Genomic DNA, 25,780 nt, shown 5'->3' with positions numbered 1-25,780 from the left:
CATGTCTGCCTCCTTCTCAATCTCCCAACTCCACCCTCCTTTTGAGCCATGTTCAGCGGTGTCTTTCCCTGCTGACATTTGCCTTCTGTACATGGTCTTTTGTTCCCTAAAAGACTGCATCACACCTCTGATTGGGAGGCCAACTGTCATTTAACTGAGTGTTTGAGTGTCTAAAACCAAGTTCAGCATTTGTCTATCTAGCAAGCTTCCCTTTCCAACTTGCTTACTCCTCTCAATTTCATCTGCAGATCTCCTGGTTCAATAAGGCTCAAAAACTGGCTGTTCCCTTGCATTCCTCTCTCTTCTCCCAGGCACTCTTCATCCTTTTTTCTCTCAGGCTCACCCTTACAATCCAACACCTTCCAATGGCCTCTCCTAGTCCAGTCCATCCTGACACCAAGTAACTGGCCCGCTTTGGAAGTCCTGACACTTTCAGTCCCTCTTTCCTGTTCTTTCCACTTTCCTCGGCCCCCAGGAGGATCCTGGATGGTCGTCACAGCTGACAAATGATGAGCAGAATGCCCTGTACTCGGGCACAGGAGGGAGAGGGTAAGGGGCTCATGCTGGGGACAGACCAACCACAGGCAGCAGCAGCAGGAGGGGGTGTAGAGAGGTGCAACAACAGTTAGTGCTGGGGGTGGGGACTGTGGACTGCACTGCAGCCAGGAGGGCAGAGAGTTTGGGGGGATTACAGTGCCTCAACCAGGAACTTTTAGTCAGTAGATACTCAAATACTGATGGCTCTGATTCTAGTGCGGATACAGAATTGGAGGAAATAGCAGCATGGGCACCACCCTGAGAATGAGCCTAGGGGAACCAGAGAGAAAGCCTTTACCACACCAAGCCACTCTGTTCTCACGGTTCTCAGGATATTTTCTTAAGTTGCCACGTCCTTGCCCCTGTAACTTTGGAGACTTGCCCTTTGATCTGGAGAGTGGCCTCCTGAGGAGGACAGGATCCGCAGGTCAGAAAGAACCAATGGCATGCAAATAGTGGCACCAGGCATCATGGTCACCTGCCACCACGCCCTCCTGCAACCAGGCCGGCACTGACCTTGCTGTCGTAATCGGATGTGTTCACACACGTGTGGATCACATACAACAGTGAGTCTACCAGCCCCTCGCAGGACCGCATTTGCTTCCGAGCTTCTTCCCCCGCGGAGCTGAGGTTCCTAAAGGGGTGGAGACAGGAGGAGCTGCTGAGATGAACCATGCACTCATCAGCCACGTGGACTTAACCTTAAGGATCTGAGAGAGCGAACAACAGGTGGCAGCCACTTAGAGGTCGGAGGAGGCACTGGGGGCTTGCATGGTAACATCCTGAAGCTCACAATGATGGCCCGCTCCCCATTATCCACACATGGAAGGGAACCTGCACATTTGGACTGTATCTCTCTCATGACGTGTCACTTTCTAATTCCCTCATATAATTCTTTAGGGGCCTATTCTCCTGAGGTTCTTCATATGTAAAAGGGGGAAAATAACAGTAACTACCTCACAGGGTTGCTGTGAAGAAGAAACGAGTTGCTACATAGAAAGCAATTAGAAAAGTGCCTCCTTCCCAGAAGGTGGCCTGCTGTCAGTCATGGTGGTGGCTACTACTAGACATGCTTCACCTCCCTTGTTAGGCCAGAAGCTTCTTGCAGTCCCCTGGGCCTATTATAATATTTTGCGTGCAGTAAGTAGGTGGTCATTAAATGTTTTTTGGATGAACAGAGGAAACATATAATTTCTTGTATTATAAACATTTCAAGTTAAATATAGATATTTGCTTATGCTAAAACTTTTCTGATCTTTTCAATTATAAAACACCCAGAAAACGGTTTTGTGTCTAAATTTTTTTATATCAATTTGCCTTCATAAATTGATACCAAATAAGGATCTATTTTATGTCCCATTAACAATGGTTCTAGGCTAACTGTAAAATTATGCAAATTGAGAATTTGCAAAACTGTGACTAGATGAGGGGGCGGTGGAATGGCGGCTCTCATCTGCCCTGCCTCTCCGCAGCACTTTCCTTTTCTCCACAGCTTCTGGGACCCCACCTGGCTTCTCTCTCACCTTGCTACTTCTCAGACTCATCTGCCCATGGGCACCTCCAGGAGTGCCCCAGGTCCTGTCTTGTCTTCATCTTTGCACTCTCCAAGGTGCCTTCTGCTCCTTGTCTTTAATACAACCTATGGACACAGGGCCATAGGTTGGCACACATCTGCCTTTAGCCCTGACTGCTCTCTAGAATTGCGGATTCTTTTCTCCAATGCTTTCTTGACACTGGCACATAGACAGCTAATTAGACTTCTCAAACTGGACATTGTCAAAACTCTGAGCTGCTCACCCTTCCAAGCATTCCTGTCCCTTCCCCCCATCAACAGCACTTCTGTGCTTGCAGCTGATCCAGCCAAAGATCTAGGTGTATCCTTATTTCCCCCCTTTCCTCGCTCTTAATATTCGATCTATTAGCAAGCCTTGTCAGCTCTTCCTCCACAAAATAACCCAAATCTGCCTACCTCACCCCAGCACCTGGTTTAGGCCACTCTCACTGTTTGCCTGGATCTCTGCAACAGTCTGATGTTCCTGTCTCTACTTCTGCCTGTACTCACTCCTCCACACTGCAGCCAGAAATGAGGCCCACTACTCCACTGCTTAGAACACTCTGATGGTTTCCCATGGCACTTGGAATAAAATGCAAACCCCATCTGACTTACAAAATCCTATATAATCTGGTACCACTCTGCCCTTTGCTCAGTAGGCTACGGCTGCAAGCTCATTTCTGCTCCAGAACCTTTACCTTAACCATTTCCTTGACTGGCCTATGACTCTTGTCTTCCCCAACACCACCCTCTAGTGAGTCACTCCTTGTGGTATTTCAGATGTAGGCTTAAATTTAAACTCCTTGAGAGACCCCCTGACCACCAAAGTAACCATTCAATAACCCTCACATCACCCTATTTGTTTTTATGGCACCTACTGTTATTTTCTTGTTTCCTTGTTTGTCTGTCTTCCTGGTAGAATGTGGTTCCATCAGAGCAGGGATCTAGTCTGTTTTATTCGTCACTGGTTTCACACAGAGGGCATTCACCAAATGTTTCTATCCCTGACCCACTGGGGGAGCTACAGTGAGTCCTGCCCCAGGCTCTCCCTGAAGCCTAGCTGGCTGGCTGAGGAGTAATCCTAGCTCCCTGGATGATTGCTAGGCCATGAGACCCACCCTGAGATGTGGGCATCTGAATTAGGAGGAGCTGGCCTGCATTCTGGGATCCTGACTCTTGTTACCTCCCCACCAACACTGCCCCCTGACCAGGGCCGATAGCCACCTGTCTCAATGCTAGAAGGCTGCAGACCAGCCACACAAGCTTTGCTCTCTTTCAGGCTGCCTGTCTTGGTGATGCTAGATGTTAAACAGCACTCACTGAGTGCTCATGCGATGACACTGTGCTAAGCACCTTCCACAAGTACCTGCTGACCCCTCACAGCTCTGAGGTGGTATTATCATCCCTATTCTACAGATGAGGAAACGGAGGCTCAAACGGGTCCTGGAAGCCAGGTGGTCTGAGACCAGAGCCCACTCTCTCTGTCCCTGTGCCACTCTGCCCTAAGGCTTGCTTCCAGTTCCCAGGGTACTGTAAGGCTGGGAAATAGGGTCAAAATGGAGCTGATGAGTGTTAAGGGCAAATAATGAACTCTACTGTGCACACTCGAAAGAGGCTTTATATATAGATTTTAACTGTAAAAGATAATGACTAAAAAAGTATTTGGGCTCATTTTCACTTATTTATACAACTTGAAACTGATTGTTTAAATCACACACCTCTTTAAAAGCAAAATGGTTTTAACCATCACATTTTGAATTTAAACAAACAGCAGGCTGCAAACACATTAGCAATCAGAATGCGATTACCAGAAAAATGCTGTTAAAGTGGAAAACACTGGAATTTTGGCAGTAATCTTAGACTGAAAGGGCCTTTCTGAGTAAGTCACAGAAGAGTCATTTACAAGATAACTTCTTTAAGGCCACAAGTCTGTGCTCACGATGTTTTTCTCCCAGAATAACAAAGTCCAGTGGCCTAAATTTTGAAATAAAAACTGGAAACTTAGATAGATGTTAATAAAGTAAGTCCTCCTAAAATCAATTTACCTATGACACATATTTAATCACAGAATTAACTGGAAAGAAGAAATAAAGAATTTACCTTAGGCAACCTGTCGTGTTACGCAGAACTAGTGAAGTCTGAAATTTAATTTTATGATCATCATCAAAAGAAGAGTTATTCCATCCAGAATGTGGAACAATCACAGTGTTTGTTAAGGTTGAGAGAGCATCTCGAATGATTGTCATTTTTACAGCATCACATGAGGATAAATTCCAAAGAACTCCTAAAAAAGGAGATTTAAAAAATCAAACAAATAGAGATCCTGTGGCTTTAGAAATAAAATAAACGTATTAGCTCTAATTAATATGAAGTCAGTCTGTTCCAAACCTAATCTATGGCCTATATTTGCAACCAGGGTGGGAATAGACCTCTAATGAGTTTTGAGTGAAGGTATGAGCCTCCGACAACATATTACAAATTCTTAATATTCACCCTCTTGGATTTTAGAGGGTGAATATTATACACCCTCTGTATCTATTAGGCAAGGTGACTGTGGATTTTGCAAAGCAAATTAGTTACTCTGCAAAGGGAGAGGGGCACAATCCAAGCAGGGGTCTTGAATATAATGCATCTGTGATTTTTACAAAACTGCTATTCATTGCATTGTATTTTACATTTAATGTCTGTGTGACAAACCATTTTTAGAATTTAGTACTTGGAAAAATATTTCTTTTTCTTGAAAGACTGGCATGTTTTTCTTCATCTGCTTCCTTTTCTTACTTTTGCTATCAGAAAGCTCAAGCTTCAATAAAGCACTTGCCGTAACTTTCCTGGCATGGATGTTTGTTATATTTGCTTCATCCACCTTACTTAGATAAGGTTTAAACACTTCTATCTCAATTTTAAGAGTTTTATTATCATGTGCTTTAGAAACACACGTTACTGTCATTCCTTTTTGGAAATAGGTGAAACTAACAATAAATTAAGAATCGCCTGTATTGTAATTCATATCAAGATTTCAGGATAACAGATCTTAAATGGAGCTTATTAGAGTTCTGTTTAATGATATTAGAGGGCCTTAATTTTTGCACCAAGTATGAGGTAGCTAAAATTATTATCATAGCACAGGTTTTCCAATAATTGCTCTCATAGACATTGGAGCAAATTTGAGATGATACCTACCCTAATGTCATTTTCACATCAGTGCATCTTCCTGAGTAAGAGGAAAGTAGGTGGAGAAGAGATGGTGCAGCTGGTTTTTCTCTGCATTCAAGTCCCCCCCAGAGTCCTACACTCCTGACATACCCTTGGCAAGTTGCTCGAGTCTGTACAGTGCTTTCACAACTACCAACACACAAAAACGTTTGTGGCCTTGCAGAGGGAGGGGTGGCAAAATCTGCCCATGTCCATGGGAGCGTGTCAGGCTTGTGAACATGACTGATCAAGAGCGTGGCCCGGAGACAAGACTGAGCACTGCTGCTCCAGCTGTCACGGCCCAAGAAGCCAGCCTGGACACCACCTGCTCAGCCTTCTCTGGGTGCCCCCTGTAAAAGAGGGTGGTATGGGGAGGAAGACAGGAGCTCCTTCCTTTGTGGAGGAAGGGGATGTAGAAGCCAAGGGCTAGAAGTGAAGAGAGTGAAACAATCTTCTGACTCTAAACTGCGTGAGGACTGCCCCTTCCCAGGCCTGTCCATGTGCTGTGGAGGGAATGGTCGGACTGGAACCTGATGCTTGTGCTCTGGCCTCCTCTTGTGTTCTGCTCTGCACCTGTGCCCACAACTCTCCTCTTTCACTTGGCTTTGACTTCTGGACCTTGCTGATTTGGTTTCCCTTGTTCCCCAAGGACTTTTACCCCTTTTCTACTCCTATTCCACCATAACTACAGCCTTCAGGACACAGGACGGGCGGGAGACTTAAGACAGTTCTGAATCAGGCAAGTAAAGACCTTGCTTTACTTCCAAAAGCTTGCTCTGTTCTTCTTTTCTTCTGTTCATGATAGACCTTTGCTTATATAATTATCTTGGGGTACACAAAAGCTAGGGTCCCGTTAGAAGGCAGCACGCATTATGGGTGCTTATGAAAAGAACTTAAATTCTACAGTTGGAGCTATTTCTCCACGGATTCTTAGAAAATTGGCCATGCTTCTATATAAAGTGCTTTTGGGCAATGGTTTTAAACTGTGCTCCCTGGATCCTGGGGGTTTTGCTGGCCTCCCATAGGGGCAGCCATGTGAGGAACTGAGGAAGAATTGGTCGTAAGGCTCCAGATCCCCACCTCAATTGACTCAGAGCAGCTTCATATTATCTATGCTCAATTTTGGGCTTAATTGGGTTTCTGTTTCAAATCTAAAAGACATTTGATAAGCCTGACGACCACAGAAAGGATCCGGGAGCTAAGCATGAGAAACACTTTTTTTGGCAGTCTGTCCTGACCAAATAACAGGGCAAGGGAGTGAAAACAGAAGACAGAGTTGGGTCAAGGCATAGCAGGAGAGGACAACAGACTCTGTCACTAACATGGGCTTTAACATTTCCTGCTAGGGAGGCCAACCATAGTCACGCTGGGCCCTGATGGGGCCTCCAGGAGCATAAGCCAGCCACAGTGGCAGCATGCAGCCCAGAAGTCATCAGTGGGAAAAGGGTGACTCCCTAAGCTCCCCTGCTGACAGTTTCATAACATGTGATTCCTAATGCCATTGGCACAAATTTTCTGTCACAGCTTTCGAATTCCTCAATGCATGGCAGAGAGCTGCATTTTTCAATAGGATATTTTCAACTTCACAGAATAAATGCATTCCAGTAAAGTTAGCTGCAAGGCAAGGTTTATGGAAAGTAAAGTCTATATCATACTATAATATTGGATATATATACAGAAAATTAAACAACCTGTGTCACAAACTTCAGGTGAAAACATGACTAAGAAGAAGAGTAGTTTTTCAGCATATTGGATCCTGGAGTTGATGCCTAGAAATTCTCTGATTGCAGTCAGAAAAACCTGTTTTTTTTTGTTGTTTCTGTCTCTACTCCCAGCTACTTCTAACACCTACTTCTGGCAAGAGAATATTTCTCTGATTTGAGAATTTCCCTGATTTTCATGCTGGTGGTAGAATTTTGTCCTGCTCTGTCTTTTTCTTCCCAGGCATTCAGAATGACTGATGGAGTTGTATGTCATTCTACAGCTTAGTATTAGCCAGTATATATACTTGGGATTGGACATAGCATAAACATTCATAAATCAATGTAAACAATGGTAGCATCACCATTTACTGTGGCTTTACTCTGTGCCAGGCATTGTGTGCTTTACATATAATACCTTAAAAAGCCAAGTTGTACAAAATTAATTAACTTTCCCTTTTAAATATTTTTATAGGTTTGAAATTCTACATGTTGATTTTTTTTTAAAAAAAGATGAACATTTATATGCTGAAATTAAATTTTAATTTCATTAGGCAAGTATTATATAATGAGGAAGAAATACCCTATCATTATCCATCCTTTTATATATATGTTGTGTGACACATATGCAGGACACATAGTAGGTGGTCAAAAATATTTGTGATGGATCTATTTTTATATCCTGTATTTGTTTTTAGATTTCTCTTTTATTTCCTACCTATCAGACTTGGCTTATAAGTATTATTATTATTACCTCCCCTTTGTGCCTTTTTGTAAAACTGAGTATTCAGGAGTGTCCTTTAAGTTTGCAACTGGGGGAGAGGATCTCTAACAAAATTTGTCAGCATAGTTTTGCCTGCCTTTCACATTGAGACCAAAACAGATGGTTGCTGAAACCACCATCTTAGTTACGGGGATAGGAGAATCCAGTTGCCATTCTATCTCCCAGAATCGGAAAAGTCACACCAACATGCCAGAATCCCCATCCCTCAAAGTGCAAAATAGAAAGGAACAGTGCTGCCAAATTATAAAATATAAAGTTGTTAAAAAATATGTTACCCTTCAGTAGACAAGTTGACTATGCTATCTTTTAGTCAACTAAAATGACTTATTGATCATAACACTAGCCTACTATAGAAATTCAGGCTTTCATTTCTGCAACTTCCAAAAAAAAATGTTTACAGTTATTCTTGATCAGAAAAAAGGAAAGGTTCTATTTTTGCTAAGTATGTGGTGTTCAAGGGACCCACCAAAAGGCAGCTTTATCACCCTGCATTGTGTGTTATATTATCCTCTAATCCTGCACTTCACCATGTAACACAAAGAGTTGCAACCTTCGGTATGGATTTAACTCACCATTTTGACTGGTTTTTCTTCCTCACTTTCTATTCCAAAACTAAGGTTATATAAAGCCAAAACAACCAGCTCTAGTCAATAAATAATGGATGAAAAAGATTTAATTAAACTTAAAAGCCTTAGATATGAAATGATTAATTTGGCTTTTTTGCTCAAAGTAAAAAGCACCTCTCTTAAGACCGGCTAATAACACCTGTGTGTGCTCGACCTCACTAAAACAATGTTCTCTCCACTTTGTCTAGGGCTTCATTTAATGGGTCAGGAAGAATCTTGCTAGGGCAGTAAGTAATGAATAGAGAATACACCAACTCCCAGATGTAGTAAGACTGATGAGAAAATGAAGAGCTGTAGGATTAGCCTTCTCCATCAACATGATAACCTCTAACTCCAACATCCTAATGCAAAATTTGCTTCAAAAATATTTATCACCATACTCCATTATCTCCTGGTTCTCAAAGGGAAAGTTAAAAATAAACTAGAATTTGGTTGAGGAAGCTTGAGGTTTTATTTAATTTAAAGCAATTAGCTATTTGTTGTGAGGACTAAGAATATAAACATACAAACTAATTTAGAAAATATTAGGGAGTCTCATGCATATTATTGTAGAAAACGCTGCTTATTCCCTGTCACAGGAACAAGTACATATAATTATGAGTAACCAATAATCACAATGAAATACTGCCATGAGAAATGAAAGTTCATTTTCCTCACAAAGAATGAATAAAGTAATTAAAATACCATTTCACATAAATCCTATGCTGCACAATTTTGAAAGAGCTCACATTTAAAACTAACTTTATAGCTATTCTAATGGCGAACTGATAATTTTATAGTCAAATTAGAAGCTGATTTTACTGATTAATTAAAATAATAGCAACTATTTGAAAAATGTACTTCTTAAAGGATATTAAAAAAAACAAAACATTTGGAAAATGCGATTTCTCTGGTGGCAGATATGCATGGCAGCCTATACAACTGTTTTTCTTTTTGATATGAAAGACAATCTTAAACCACTCATTTTTAGACAGCATTCAATTTATGCCATGTTTCCTAATTATATTAAAAAGAGCCCAAGTGTTTGTAGACATTGCCAAAAGCAAAAAAGCAACAGCCATAAAGGTGCCAGTGTGCTTCAAACATCATCACTGGACAGGCCCCTGCATTTTCCTTCTTGAGTGAACCTCGCTCTGAGTGCTCTGGTTTTAGTCGTGCTCTTTCACAAGACGTTCATGATGGAGGCAGGTAAAACTACCCAGGCTCAGGGTGTGAGGAACCATCAAGGAGATAATGGATGCTAAGGTCTTGTGCACACTCAACCCCCACTCCATTCCCAGTACAAAGCAAGTGTCATGACCAGTGGCTAACAGGACTGTGCATTCCCGTTGAAGCTCTGGGGAACACTGCTCCTTATGTAATCCTCCCCACCTCCTGCCCCAGCTCCTGGCTATTCTGCATCTATGGGCTCACTGGAACCACCCTGCAAACATTCTTGAAAAATGGGGGTAGAAATATTAGATTAATAGCACAAACATAATAATATCAGGGCTGCAGATTGTATCACGGCCCTTGCCTGCTTCTCCTAGCACATGCCTCCATTATCATTCCCTATACAGTCTCTGGCTGAAACACTCAGGATCTAGCAAACACACATCTTCATTTCTTTCTCTATGCAGCTGCCCTTGAAGTTCTCCCCTTAGCCCAATGGGTTTTTATAAACTTCTGCGGCTTTTTCTTGGGACGAGAGTAATGCCAAGATGCTATGGCACCTACATCCTGCTACAATATGGCCTCCCGCCAGCCTTAAAGTTACACACCTCATACCTTTGACATTTACGTTACCTCTACCCAAATGCAGTATAGACCTGTGCTGCCCCATACGGTGGCCATCAGCCACATGTGGCTACTTGAAATATGGCTAGTCCAAACTGAGATGCACTGTTGAGTAAAAAACAGATTATGAAGACTTGGTACGAAGAAGTGAACACAAAATATTAATAATTTTTATATTTCTTAGAAGTTGAAATACTTTGAAACTATTAGGCCAAATAAAATACATTACTAAAATAGATTTCCCATGGCTGCTAGAAAATGTAGAAAATATGCAGCTCATATTATTCTCCTATTGAACAGCGCTGGCAGAGATGCTTGCTTGCTTCATGCCAGACTCCGAGGGAGACACACAGGGGAGCCATCTGTTCTCAGGGGGGCCTTACCACAAACAGTTACACCACCAGGCAGTTGTGACAAAGGGCAGGAAGAGCAACAGGTATGGCTTGAATATCCTGTGTGCCAGGAGCTCAACACACATCATCACAAAAACACCAAGCAGCAGGTAATGTGTCATTGCCGGGGACACTGGGGTTTGACAGTGGTGATGTGTCTGGAGCCACAGAGCTGGAAGGAAACAAGTCAACCTGGCTCCAAAGCTCACACTCACTCGAGACCATGCCGCTTCTCCTTGGATGTTTTTCAAAGTGTGTGAACTTGTGTTTGACAGGAGGATGGGAGACCACATTTGAGTTGCAGTGTCAAGGACAGAGGCCAGAAAGAAGCAGGTTTGGGGTGCAGAGCTCTTCAGGCCAACTATATATAGCCTGGGAAAGAAGCAGAAGAGGTGACGGCACATGCTGGAGCTGGCTGGCAGGAGGTCACAGAAGCTACTGATTTGGACAGGCAGGTGGGAAAACCTGAACTGCAGGCACAGGTGTTATCCCAGGGAGGGGGTGAGGCCAATGGGCTAGGAGGGGCAGAGCCTATTTCACAGGACAGGATGGAGGAGGGAGGAGGCCAAAAGGGAAGGGAAGTGCCTGTAGTGAGAATTTGGAGCCAGATGCAAACTGAGGGTGGTGTCACAGGTAAGCCAGGAGTTTGAATACGTGTGAAAATATGGCACTGTTAACAGAAATGAGGAAGTCAAGGGGGTGGTGGGGAGAATCAGTGCCATAAAACTGTCTGCTGGGCTAATCAATTGCCCAAGCTTTCTAACAGGGCTGAAGGCTGTCAACAAATTACGAAATCTAAGTGAAACTGAAATAGTGGGAAAACAATTACGAGACAGGGATAAAACTACTATCCTCAGTTATAGAAAAATACCTTTCTCTGGATAAATGCTGAGGAAAACAAGTTGTGGTGGTATATAGCCATTCCCAGAGTTTCTAAGATGCCACTATCTGAGCAGAGTTCCTGAAACCTGTGCAGTGACCCCTCCATGCAGTGAGGCTCCTGGTCTATAGGTGTGGCTTGAGGCTTTCTCCTTCCTGCCCCAAAGCATGAGAGGCCAGTTGCTGCACTCCCTGCTGCCTGGCACAGAGCACTGCAGGTGGTGGACAGGCCTGCCTTGCTCACCCCTGTGTTCTCTGGGATTTCCTGCACAGCAGATGCATAATCCTCATGGGGCACGGGGGAGCTCACTCAGGTCCAGCTGTGCTCGGAACACCACCATCTCAGCTTTCAGCGCAGTGGGAAGTGGGTGCTCAGGTGGTCTGAGGGCAAGATGCTTCCTAGGAGGGAGCTGTGTGGAAGTAAGGAACTGGGCTGGTCACAGAGGCTGCACACAGGGGCCCCAGCCTGCATATTCCAGTTGAAGGTGACCATTCCTGCTGCTGAAATTTGTCCCCAGTTGGGACAAGATAGATCTTTAGTGCCTTTAGAGAATATAAGGGTTAGCCCGAGTCTCTGCGATTTTGCAGGCATAAAGGTGGATCACAGCACCTTTGAAAAGATCTACCAACTTTTAGAGATCCATTTACAGAATCATATTTGCATTTTAATGTATTCTTCTTTATTCTAGGTAATTTTACCACTTCTTGGATATGTTTTGAGGATTAATGACATAATGTAGTTATACAGTTCTATGTTCCCTGGAAAGGCATTTCTACAGAAAATAAATAAGCTTACAATTCAGAAATGCTGACTGAGAATTGCCCATATGGGACACACAGAGTGGCTCCTTCTGTTGAAGCAGAGCTAATAAAAGGGAACAGGTCACATGAAAGGAAATTAGAGAATCCTTCTGGGGCAGAAACGGCAGTGGGGGCAGCGGCCCTGGCCACCCTTGTTCTGCAGGTTATTTCAGTGTGACACAGAATTAGGTCATTTATACTGTCACAGTTACACTATCATAGAGATTTGCCCAAGAAACTGTCACTGAAGTCATATACTCCACAGCTGACCTACATGTTCCAGGAACACACTTGCTCATCTGTAACTGCACTAGATCTTCAACCCAGTTGTCTGGTGCTGGCAGAAGCTTAGAGACAAAGGTGCCTCCAGCTGCAAGCTATAGAGCATCATACTCAGAAACTGCAAAGCATTTGCAGGACCTGGCCTGGGGTCTCCATATTCCCACCTTTCTTGCATTTGTAGGACGTCTAGTCAACTGAGGGAGCATGTTATTACAGGGCCTCTCTTTTGCTGAGAAGTTCCACTCTGACTGATGTTTGAATACCCAAGTCTTATAAGTGACCTTCTGAGACTCCCTACTTGACTGCCTCCTTGTGCTTGGCACTCGGAAGCCTACACTCAAAATACAGGGTCATATTCCACTTAGAGGGTTGAATCTTTTCATACTCAAAACTATAAATCTTGAAATAGACGCAAGACCTAAAATCACGTTTCATAGACTTCCTAAGCAAACTGAAGCTTTATGATTATACTTGATCACTAGTTTGATATTATAGTGCTAGTGGTGAAATTCAGGGATATTTCTCTATGGTCCTGGGTAAAATTCAGAGAGTAGTTTATTGTGGGGCTTTTTTTCTTTTCCCTTTTTGGTGGTAATCTTAAAGAACAAGGGAAATAACATTTGTACCCTCCAGATTTAGCTCCTGTTCAGCCCTTCTCAGTGGCCAGGGTAGGCAGGGGAAGGGTCAGGGAAGAAACACCTCCAGCCTGGACATCAGGAACTCAGCCTGGAGACTTGCCTGCTCAACCTTCCTGGACTTCGGTTTCTAATCTGTAATAACAGGGGTAGACAGGAGATTTCTTTAGGGTTCTTTCCAGTTCAAAGTTCTCTACCAATTGAGAATTGGTCTATTCATAATAGACATTTTTTGTCTTCTTAGTAATTAAACTTTTAAAAATTTGTCATTTCTCATTACACATTTTCAGGGTTTGAAATGTTCAGTGAATAAGGGAATGTTTCTGTTGTGATTGTTTCATTTATTTTTTTGAGACAGAGTCTCTGTCGCCCAGGCTGGAGTGCAGTGGCGCGATGTCGACTCGCTGCAACATCCGCCTTTCAGGCTCAAGCGATTTTCCTGCCTCAGACTCTCTAGTAGCTGGATTACAGGCATGTGCCACCACACCTGGCTAATTTTTGTATTTTTAGTAGAGATGGGGTTTCACCATGTTGGCCTGGCTGGTCTTGAACTCCTGACCTCGAGTGATTTGCCTTCCTTGGCCTCCCAAAGTGTGGGGATTACAGGTGTGAGCCACTGCACCCAGCTATGTTTTATAAAGTGGACCAAGTGACATGGATCCTTACTGATTTGGGCTGGGAATTGGGAGGAGATGTTGCTAGATTTCTAAAAATGACCCACATAGCTTCTAACAGCCCTAGTGGCCCATAACAGTAGGACTGACTCCTCTCTGGACCAGAGCATAAATGACCTGTTTTGAAGGCATATTAATTAGGCTAAGGGGACATGCTTCGTAAACTGTTTTCATCCTGTAACGGCAAGTAATCGTCCAAAAGGCATGTCCACTAAGCTCCTGCTTTTTATAGTATATAAGACTAATTCTTGCCAGACTGTTCTGCCCTTTGTTAAACCTTAGCCTGGCCCATCTACCCTTCCTTAGTTACAACTATTATTTTCTTATTAATTTATCATCGAATTAAAAATATGGAGCTAATGATCAGGAAAACAATACACTTCATTTCATGTTCTGCAGTGTCTGGAATCCATTGCTGGCATCCAAACATTTCACAATAAACAGTGGAAATATTTTACTTAGCTATATGGATGAATAATCACTTACTAAATTGGAAGAAATGTACATGTAGCAGTCATATGAACAAAGTCTATTATTACCGAAGAACAAAGGCTACTTTTTGGTATTTAAGAGGGTAATAGAAGTGTGACAGTTGGGGACATCTGGTACGTACATTAAAAAGCAGGCCTCCAGATTTGTGCAATATCTTCAATGTCTATAGTTTTAAAAAATGATGTTTTCAGGAGGCTCAATAACTTGAAACTCATGTTTCCTAGCTTAGAAACACTATTTAATTATTTTGAACAAATGAGTTCAACATATCTTTTTTAGTGACAAGATGTTCCCATCTGTCCTCCATACTTTGTGGCCTAGCAGACATTCATTTTATAACCAAACTGGGGAACAACCATACTTCATCCAGCTTTCAAGTTTAAGTACAACAACAGCAAAAAATACTTTTGGAATAAAAGAAAAATTACCCTAAGCACTCACATATATCAGCACTTACTAAAAGAAAAGCTCATTAGGTTTCAACTGGAAAATGTTCAACACAATGAGGAAAACACAAGAATCATGTTACATACTAGAGAACCATTTTAATTAACAATGACAGCCATATTGTCTTGGGAAAATACATTTGAAGAAAAGTCCTTTTTTCCCTCTGAAAATAAAGATGTGGCCAAAAATATAGGCCCTGGGCAGTTATTGTGTTTAAAGCAAAGGCAAGGCATCTTTATAAAAAACAGCTAAAATTTCTCCACTTAAGTACAGTAAAAACTGCCAAACTGAAACAAAGGGAACTAGAAAAAAAGACTGGATTAATAACTGGGTTGAATTACTTAATATTAAGAATCAAAGAATTCCTAGTTTCAAGGGCATAGTAGTTTCTTCAAATTATATAATATTTGGAACACAATGGTTCACTGTATTTTAACATCTCATGATCCTAAGTTGACTATAATTTTCACTTAGGAATGTGTGGACCGTACCTACAAAGGCCAAGCACCGTGCAAGGCTAGCCATGGTATTTGTGAATGATACTAGCAGAACACTAAAATCTAAGGCTAATGTTCTGTTTTCAAAGGGGACTTTATAGGAGATGGGCACCTGATGGGGAATGCTGGGTGACACGGTCACACAGCACCTTCAGCCTGAGTTCAGAGCAGACGTGCTTTAACGACAGTTCAGACTGGGGGCTTACTTCCTTGGTTAGGAGTGCTGGTGGCTGGATCTAGGGTGGAACTGGTCTTTTTGTAGGGCCATTCCTATGCAAAAATGACCTCCTGAGGGTCTGTATTTTTTGCCTTTTCAAGTTATATCAGATAACTTCTTGCTGCTTTCTGGATAACCTTGTTGTCCAGACTTAACCCCACCAGGTAATGAGCTTCCTGTGCTGTGGGTTCATGCATGTGATGGCGGCTACTTTGTATGGAAACTGTACAGGAGATTCATGCACTGGATGGATGACTGAACAAAATGAGTTCTGAGGTCTCCCCCAACCCTGTGCTACAATTAAAGACGGCTTGAGCATTTGATGTGAGGAAGATTTAATGAAAGAAGAAAGAAGAGTTCAAGCATTTTTTGATGTTTTCATGCTTTAATATGTATCAAGGATCAATCACCCTTAAAATATTACTGAACATCAGTTAAGATTGGTACCACTAAATTGTAGGACTGGGAAATGTGAGCAATTTTGCTGTCTCTATAAAGCTTAGACTATAAATACATGTACACACACAAAAAAAGCAACTATGCTAGATTTATATTGTGACTTGTTTCATGTTAGTTAGACAATGTTTAGGTATAAATCAAACACAGCTGCCATTTGGCTTTTTGAACTGGGAACTCATTTCTGAAGTCTTCTGGTCCAACCTACTTTACTTATGGCAATTGCATGAAGTGTTTACCCACTGACCACTCTCATTTCAATGTTTTGAAGAAAACATTTGATAATCAGTCCACATGTCAAAATAAAGGATTAGTGGTAACAGTATATAGTTATAAAGCAATTCTTAATGTCTCCTACTCTATAAGTATGGCAAAAAATTGTTTCTTATAGCCTAAAAGCTACCGGCAGATATTTTCAAGACAAATATCAGAGGTACTTCTTAGTTTTACATTAGAAGTGATTGATATGATCTATTAGGAAAACAGCTCTTTCTGAATTAGAAAACACTTATATCCTCTTTTCAAGGCCAAGGTCCATGTCTTAAAACATCTTATGTTCTCTATAAAATAAGGAGGAAATCATCTAAATTAGCACTCAATTCCAGAGTGTGCTCCAGGTAACCTAGTACATAAAAGCCCTTGGTAGTAAAGTCGGGCTCTACTTAAAGTAATTTTGACTTATTTTTAAATGTAAACAAAAAAAGAGCACACAATCATGTACTTTTCTTCCTGTTTAACACTAAATCTTACAAATTCCTTGAGCTCAGCTCAGGAAAGGCACTGTAATAGTCTCTCCCAAGGAAAAAACTCAAACAGAAATTCAGAAAAGACTCATTCCTCCTATGAGAGGACAGAAGAGCAGGAAAAAGCTTCACATTAAGGATGTAAGGATCGAGTCATGATGAATCTGGCTAGTTAAATTTGAGGAGAAGCTGTGTTTTCCATGTCATTTGTCCCTGGATCGCCACTGCTCTCTCAGGGAGTAGCGCACACGATGGACTGCAGCCCTCCTGGCTGCACGGTGTTACTATGGGAAGACAACTGGACATGACACAGGAAGTTCAAAGTGATGGGAAGAGAAACATCAGACAAAGCAGGAAAGCACTCATGTAATGCAAATGATTCTGTCTCCTCTATGCCTCCCTAACAGTAGGCTCAGGGTAAATTTGTGGGCGTAATCACAGTGACTGTGTTGACTTCTAGGATGAACATAGCTACATTTTTATTTTTTCTTAATTCTGTTTAGCTTGCTCTAATTTTCATTTTATATCTACATGTACACGTAAACAAAAATAATTATAATTTGTTTTTTGGTGAGATGCCTCAAAAGCATTTTAGAAAGTGGGAGTACTAATTTAGAAGCGCTAAAGCATTAATAGTCAAAATACATTAAGGCAGATGGTCCATTCCAGATTTATGATTATTTGTAACGTATATTCTACTTTTGGTATTTTATTTAGAGTACAAGGGAATATTAATGTTGTATTTTGAACATTAATATCTTATGAGAAAGTTGATTCCCCTTAAATATTGGATGCAGGATAGTTTATTCATTCCCAAGTGTTACAGAAACTACAACTCTGATTTCACAGTGGAAACCTGGGGGGAATGAAATTAATTTTGAAGAAATGTTGTTTTAAAATTTTAAATTAAATATCTCAAGCATGAAAAAAGGCAAAGAAAATATAAAACAAACACCCAGGTATGCCAGCTTTGTCAAATATTAACATTTTGTCTTATGTATTTCAGAGTTCTCTAAAGAAACAGAGGTGGAATACAACCCCCAGTCCCATTTTCCTCCTTCCTCTTCACAGAGGTAACCCCTATCCTGAATCTATTTTTATTATTCCAATTAGAAATTTTAACTTTATTGCATGTGCATATATCCACATCAATCTACATATTTAAAAACTTTATTCAAATAGTATTACTCTGTAGTTATCATTCTGCAAGTATTTCTAAAGCTGCATGTATCTGTTATGTGTATTCTACTGTGCTTATTTTAACTGCTGTATGTGGTTTCACTGTGTGAGAGTACTGCCATTGATGTAACCATTCTTTTGTCAATGAACTCTTAGTATTTTCCCTGAATTATTATTACAAGCAATGCTGTCATCAATGTGTCCTCCTGCAGAACCATTCTTCCAGCTCAATCTCAAGTATCCTTGAATCCAGCCACTAGCACTGCAACATCCAGGCATTACTCACTTCTCCCTCTCTCTCACTCCGCACTTCCGACCATCATGCCCAGACCACAAAATATTTCTCTGACTGCTCCACCCCACTCTTCCTTTTCATCATTAAAATAGTTCAAGCTGTTATCAGTAGACTGTTGGTCTGTTCATAGGCCTCCCACGCTCTCCCACTTCATATCAATCCTCTACCCTGCTGCCTGCTGGAAGAACGCATTTAAAGGCCTAAACTGGCCATGCCATACCCCAGTGTCCCTACTGCATGTGGGACACAATTAAGTTCCTTATAAAAGTTCCCTAAATGGGCGGGGTGCAGTGGCTCACACCTGTAATCTCAGCACTTTGAGAGGCTGAGGCGGGCGGATCACCTGAGGTCAGAAGTTGGAGACCAGTCTGGCCAACATGGTGAGACTCCATCTCTACTAAAAATACAAAAATTAGCTGGGTTTGGTGGCGCGTGTGTGTAATCCCAGTTACTCAGGAGGCTGAGGCGAGAGAATCGCTTGAACCCGGGAGGCAGAGGTTGCAGTGAGCTCAGATCATGCCATTGCATCCCAGCCTGGGTGACAGAGCAAGACTCCGTCTAAAAAAACAGTTCCCTAAATGAAGACTCTATCTCTCTCTGGCCTTGTTTTCTTTTCTTTTTTTTTTTTTTTTGAAACAGGGCCTCACTTGTCATCCAGGCTGGAGTGCAGTGGTGTGATCATGGCTCACTGTGCAGCCTCAACCTCCTGGGCTTAAGTGATCCCCCTACTTCAGACTCCCAAGTACCTGGAACCACAGGCATGTGCCACCACATCCAGCTACTTATTTTTATTTTTTGTAGAGATGTGGTCTCCCTGTGTTGCCCAGGTTGGTCTTGGACTCCTGGCCTCAAGTGACCCTCTTGCCTCGGTCTCCCAAAGTGTTGCGATTACAGGTGTGAGCTACCACACTTGGCCCTCACGAGGTTTTAACACAGCAGCCCCCTCTTGCTGGTAGCTCCAGAACTATATCCCATGCTGTTTCGGAGCTTGTAACTAGAAAGACCTCTGCCTATCCAGCCAATGCTTCCTCATCCCTTAGGCCAACTTCAGTTTCATGTCACCCAGGGAACTTCGTTACCCATCCTCTGTGCCCAATGCAACCTCTGTTGAGTGAGACTTGCCACATTTCCCTGACGCTCACAAAACCACCTGTGTTCCTCACCAATCTGAGGGTGACTTAAGCGCAGGCACTGAGTTTTATTCATCTTTCTATCCCTGGGGCCTAGTAAAGTACGTGGGAATACAAACAGGCACTCAGACACCAGCTGAGCTAACGTAAAAGACTGCCAATCCATTAAGTATATTTTATTTTCATAATATAGGATAGTCTATTTAATACAACTAGATTTACTATGAAATACATGTAAAAAATGTCATATTTAGTCCTCCATGAAAAAGACATCTGTTAGCTGATATTTACAAATTAATAAGTACAATAACTTATACTAATAGAGATGACTGCATTCTAAACGGTTTCTGACTCATTAGACTAAATAATTCTCAGCCTTCACAGTTGTGAGCACTATATATATCTCATTATCTATTACCTGGAACCTCCAACTCTTCCATAGTGCCACTATACAAGGGCACAGTCCAGACTGTTTTCAACATTTCCTCTAGGACGAGATCACATTCTATACCTACCTGTAACAAGCTCCCTTACTTCTGCATCAATAGATTTTCTCAACAGTCGCAACAAGGCAGGTATCCCACCAACATTCTTCATTGCTATTTTATTTTCATCTGTAGACTTGCCAAAAACGAGGTTTCGAAGGGCACCACAAGCATTCTTCTGAACTTCCAAAACTCTGTGGTCCAGAAGGTCAACCAGATGCTTGATTCCCCCTAACCTACACACCTAGAATGAAAAATATTAGGTACCAGGCCTAAGTAACATGCAATTAATCAGTGATCATACAGAAGTCCGTTATGGAGAGATCACAGGATGTGGATATCTCTAGACCATTTCAAAGGTTACTTTTTATTCCAAATAAGACAACTTTTATACATTCTAAGGAGAGGCCAGGTGCGGTGGCTCATGCCTGTAATCTCAGCACATTGGGAGGCCAAGATGGGCGGATCACTTGAGGTCAGGAGTTCAAGACCAGCCTGGCCAACATGATGAAACCCCGTCTCTACTAAAAATAGAGAAAACTTAGCTGGGTGTTGAGGCACACGCCTGTAATCCCAACTACTTGGAAGGCTGAGGCACAAGAATCGCTGGAACCTGGGAGGTGGAGGTTGCAGTGAGCCAAGATTGCACCACTGCACTCCAGCCTGGGCAACAGAGTGAGACTCTGTGCCCCCCACCCCCCACCAAAAAAACAGAATTCTAAGGACACTCTTGTAGATGATACTTTTCCTGGGTTCATGGCTTCAAAAAAAGATAGGAGATTTAAGTGGTTTAATGTCCATCGGCAGGCAGCACAGTCCTCCTCCAAGCCTCAGAACACACATCAAGAATTGTGCTTTCACTCCAGCAGTGCAATGTGCAAATACACAAACATAGCAAAGCTATCTGCAGGGCTTGAGGCAATATAGGAAATAATTTTTGACTTAAGTTATTTAGTTTCTAGAATGAGTTCTCTAGGCTACTCTCCTTAAATTTTCTTCCATTTGTCAATTCATTAGTACATTATTTGAGTATTTCTGGGCTTTATGTACTACATTCACTTTTAGGTCTGGAACTGGTATACTGTTATGCACATTAAAATGATGAAAAACACTTCAGTTTTATATAACACAGTGGGTCAGAAGAAGGCTTGAAACGTTAAAGAAAGAATCTATATGTTATATAGAATTATAGCCAATAACCAGTAACTTGCTATGTTTCTATAAATACCAAAAAAACCCTGAAATAAAATATTCATGTATGTTCAGCCTTAGTGATGGTTATAATCCTCTATAACTTATTTATAGTTGGCACCAATCTGACTAGAATCCCATAAAACACATTGGCTCACTAGTTCAATGAATACTATAATTTTTAACCTAATAATTTTTTTTTTTTTTGAGACAGAGTCTCGCTCCTAGGCTGTAGTGCAGTGGCTTGATCTCGGCTCACTGCAACCTCCTTCTCCCAGGTTCAAGTGATTCTCCCGCCTCAGCCTTCTGAGTAGCGGGGATTACAGGCCATGCACCACCATGTCCAGCTAATTTTTGTGTTTTTAGTAGAGAAGGGATTTCACCATGTTGGCCAGGCTGGTCTTGAATTCCGGACCTCAGGTGATCTGCCAGCCTCTGTCTCCCAAAGTGCTGAGATTATAGGCATGAGCCACTGTGCCTGGCCTAAAATATTTTTTAAATGCAAGTTAAATTGATTTTTGCTTCATGGTTTTATAAATAAGCTAATGAAGTAGACATACGATTTGAAAATGCTGAAAGCACTCCAAGAAATATATGTATCCTAGTTTTTCCTGAGAGATACTGAAATGCATAGTTAAGTGAAAGAGTATCTGGTATCAAAATATCCCTTTAAAAAGACTCTTGAATTACACTGGGTAATTTCTTAAATACAGAAGCACGTGGCTGTTAAATGCAAAGGCATTATTTTCCCCAGTCATCCCAGGCACCATGTCCTGTACCTCCATCTTCACTTTGTTGTCACCAAAGCACAGGTGCTGCAGGTAGGCCGCTGCATTTGCCTGAACAGATGGGAACTGGTGCTGAAGCATGTGAATGACCTCAGGCAACTCAGGATCACGCCAGGCAAACTCCCTACATGAGAAAAACATGGCTTCAGAAAGGAAGGCCCATGTTGTAAAAATACACTGAAAAAAACACTTGGTATAAGGAAAAAAAGCTCAGCTGAGACAAAAATGGGAAGTTACAAAAATCCTAAAAAATACATACCTAAATAATTTTTCCCCCTGATGAACATATGCAGAGGCCCAGATGCTTATGATCTTAAGGAAATCATGACGCACAGATGCACAGAAAGAGATTCAGGGGAACAAAGAAAATTCTTAATATAAGTAACTTCCACTCTCGTGTTCCTCCTCCTGATTCTAATTTTATGTCTTTCTACCTATGTAAGAAATCTGCAGGTGCAAGGCTCAGGTAAACACGTGCACTGTAGCGAAGTGAGATGTCATGCCTGAAGGGAGAGGAAGGGCTGGTGGGAACAGACAGGGCTGGCGTCAGCCTAGAAATCACAAACATTGTGGGCCTGAGGATTTTTAAGAAACAATGTTTATGGTTGCTCTTGAGTATAACACAGAAACACAGAAAACTATAAACAAGTATTTGACCAGTCATCCTATATTCAGGATTACTGCTGACATTTCCTGTTTTTCTATATATGTGTGCAAATGTGCACACATGTGTGAGTTTGGAATTTTTTCCATAAAACTGGGTTATTATTAAATAGTAGTTAATATTTCATAAACCCCTATCCTGTGTCAGGCACTATTCCAGGCATTTTATATATATTTATTAATTTATTCTTACGGCAACCTTAGAGAAACGGAAGTTGAGGCAGAAAGGCCATGCGCCTGGCCACGTGGCTGTAAACTGCGAAGCGGTACCCTGCCTTCAGAGTCTGTGCCCTCCAACACTATGCTATACCATTTTTTTGAACAATGAATACATAATCATGCTATGTATATATACTTTTATACTTTCCTTTTTTTCAGCTAACATCCATTTTCAGGATTTTCTAATGTCATCTGATTGGTGTACTGTTTGGAATTCTTGTTAAATGTGAGTTTGTGCTTATATTATGTGAAAAGCAGATTGTTAGAAAATGGTTCACAGAACAACAAATATGCAGACTCTGATTACAGGATAAAGTTAGTTGTTTATTAAAAAAAAGAATTCATACTGAGTAAACCTTTAAAATTATCTTTAAAATTAATGACCGAGTGATAATTCTCCTGCCTGGTTTTTGAAGCCTTAGAGTCTCTCTTGATCTGGGAAGTCTCCATGTATTAACTTGTTAGACCCCTGCAAAGGGGCATGTCATCCCACACCTGTGTGCACACACGCAAACACACACGCACGCACACACACACACACACACACCCCTCATGCGTTCAGTTAGTGAATTCTTACTGTGCTATGGTGCTGGAGATACAAATATTGGTAAGATACGATTCTATTTACAGGGTCTTCTCTGCCAAACTAAAAAGTTTAGTCTTAATACCAATAACAGGAGTTATCCTTTATTGAGTTTACTTATATCAGGCTTTGTGCCAAGAACTTTACCTTCATTATCTCATTTACCTTTACTGTTGCCTCATGAGGTAAGCACTATTAAAATAACATTAGATACAGATAAGGAACTCAGGATTAGTAATTAGTGATAGAGGTTAGTGAAACCCAGGTGGTCTATATGTGTGCCTACACATAAGGAATGAAGGCTGTGAAGCAGGAGAGTAAGAGGATGTGACATAGTCACATTTATACAGACGATAACTCTAGTGGCCAAGGAAAGAATGCCCTAGAATACAAAAAGATGGGTGTCATGCAGATTACCCACTATCTGCACAGGAATCTATACATCTGCTTGAAACGAAATAGACTTCTCTTTGATTCCTCTCTTTTCTTCATCTTCCCTCATGGAATCCATCAGCAAGTTCTGTTGACTATCTACAAAATATTTAACATATACCAAATCCATTCATTTTCTCCATTTTGCCCAGAAGAGTCTAACAGTTTCCTACATGTTCTCTCTGCTTCTAATATTATCCCCTCACCCCACCTGCACCCCCAATCCATTCTTTATACAGCAGCCAGATGATCTAAAAACTGAAGTCAGGTGTGAGATGGAGTTTCTGGCTTGGTGAACAGGCTGGAGGGTGATGTCACTAACAGCCATTAAGAATACAGCAAATGCCAAGGGAGGCAGGATAACAGCAGAAAAAGCACAGAATATGGAGTTAGATTGCCTGGGTTTCAGTCTTGGGTCCTTCCATTTCTGTGTGATTTTGAAAACCAATTAATTATTTGGAGCTTCAGTTTCCTCAACTGTAAAACAAGATCAATGAAACTAATATTTCAATCTTCACTGGTTGGTTGTGATGATTAAATATGATGATGAATACTAAAATATTTTATATACTTTTACTTCTGACACAGATGTTTTATTAATATTCATCATCCCTAAAAAATGAGCTATTCTAAATAGATGAATTCCTGGTAACAAATAGTTTTCCTTTTATATATTGAAACTGTTATCAATCGTTTCTCAGAAAATCTGTCTAAAGCCTATTATGTAAATCTCTGTTGTAATTAACAGAGTGCAAGGAGTGTGATTTACTCTTTCTTTGATGACTCACAATCATTACAAATACACATTTTTGTCCTCTTTAAATGGGACACTGAGGGTCAAGATTTCCTGACATCCCCGGTGCCATGAGGGCCAGACAGCCCCGAGGGTGGGCTCCTGCCAGAGCTGGGCAATTAGGCTTGCTTGGCTTCAACTCCAACCTCGATGAAAATTCAGTAGAAATTTACCCTCGAAAAACTGCTATCAATTTGTAGGCTGGCTGGATGGCATCAATGCCTGCCAGGATTTGCTTCAGTATAACCTAAGCCCAGACTTCTGTTTCCAGCCATGATAGAGTAACTCGTACTGGATTTCGCCCTCCCACCATAAACAATTATAAAAGTGAATTTAGCTAAATGTAGGAGAAAACTGTTTTTAGACCCTCGAAAACAGGCAACACAAGAATATAATCCTTGAGAGGAGGGAAACATCCACGAGTCCCATGTTTACTTGGCTTTCTGCCTGAGGGCACTTTCTGGACCAAGACACAGGAAGCTGAGGCCAAGTAGTATGTGAGGGATTTAGTGAGCTGAGGCAGGGAGCGAGTGGAATTTGTGGGTGCCAAAGTGGTTAGAATGTGCAAGGCAGAGTACTGGAGACAAGGGAGCTAAGCAGAGGTGATTCTCCGGGTTTGCGTGTGGACTATCCGAAGTCCTTAGTTGTACCCTGAGCTGTAGGGCACATGCACAGGTCTGGTGGAAAGTGGCTGCTGCACGGCTCAAGGCTGAACAGGTACCACGTGATGTGGACTCCCAGCCTAGTCAGAGTGCAGACCTCACTGAACACCTTGGGAATTTAGTCAAGACTCCACAAAGGCCAAGTTTTAGGGGTAAGGATCATGTTCTAAGGCTTAAAAGAAATATGAACTAGACCTAACAATGAACAAAACCAATCTTGATGGGATTGAAAGGATCTGCCAGTAATTTAGTTCTCTGCCACAACAAAACTCAGCACCCTAACAGGAGACAACTTAATCCAGATTCCCTATAATGTATCATCTACAACCGTCAGTATATAATTTAAAATGACTAAACATGAGAAGAAACAGAAACATATGACTTATAAATATGTAAAAAAGGCAACCAATAGAAACAGACCCAGACTCACCCCAGATGTTGAACTTATCAGAGGAAATATTTTAAATGGTTATGATAAATGTGTCAAAGACTTAAAGAAAAAGATGTATATAAGGAGTGAAGAGATGGAGAATCTCATAGGAACATGGAATATATAAAAGGAACCAAATTCAAGGATTGGAAATAAAAACAAATTTGCAAGGGCTTCACAATAGATTGTAGTCTATAGGACAAAGAACACTAAATTTGAAGGCATTAATAAAAATTTCTGATTAC

At 41.5% G+C, this 25,780-nt stretch overlaps 1 protein-coding gene and 1 long non-coding RNA gene across 15 annotated transcripts in view; one reads left to right on the top strand and one right to left on the bottom strand.

Moving 5' to 3' along the window:
* The window catches only part of PKP4-AS1 (PKP4 antisense RNA 1), a 76,666-nt gene extending 72,499 nt beyond the window's left edge, over positions 1-4,167 (top strand). The window contains exon 4 of the long non-coding RNA NR_135242.1: positions 754-4,167. This is a non-coding gene — a long non-coding RNA (PKP4 antisense RNA 1). The remainder of the gene's footprint in view (positions 1-753) is intronic.
* Positions 1-25,780, bottom strand: part of PKP4 (plakophilin 4) — a 224,478-nt gene that overhangs the window by 18,926 nt on the left and 179,772 nt on the right. For all 14 annotated transcript variants that reach the window (NM_001377220.1, NM_003628.6, NM_001005476.4 and 11 more), the window contains 4 exons: positions 21,745-21,877; positions 19,805-20,018; positions 4,190-4,373; positions 1,054-1,171 (listed from right to left, as the gene is read on the bottom strand). In NM_001377220.1, coding sequence (NP_001364149.1) covers positions 1,054-1,171; positions 4,190-4,373; positions 19,805-20,018; positions 21,745-21,877 — 649 coding nt within the window. The remainder of the gene's footprint in view (positions 1-1,053; positions 1,172-4,189; positions 4,374-19,804; positions 20,019-21,744; positions 21,878-25,780) is intronic.

The sequence above is a fragment of the Homo sapiens genome, chromosome 2 (assembly GCF_000001405.40).
Source record: "Homo sapiens chromosome 2, GRCh38.p14 Primary Assembly".
NCBI lineage: Eukaryota > Metazoa > Chordata > Mammalia > Primates > Hominidae > Homo > Homo sapiens.
This window is presented reverse-complemented; position numbering and strand designations above follow the sequence as displayed.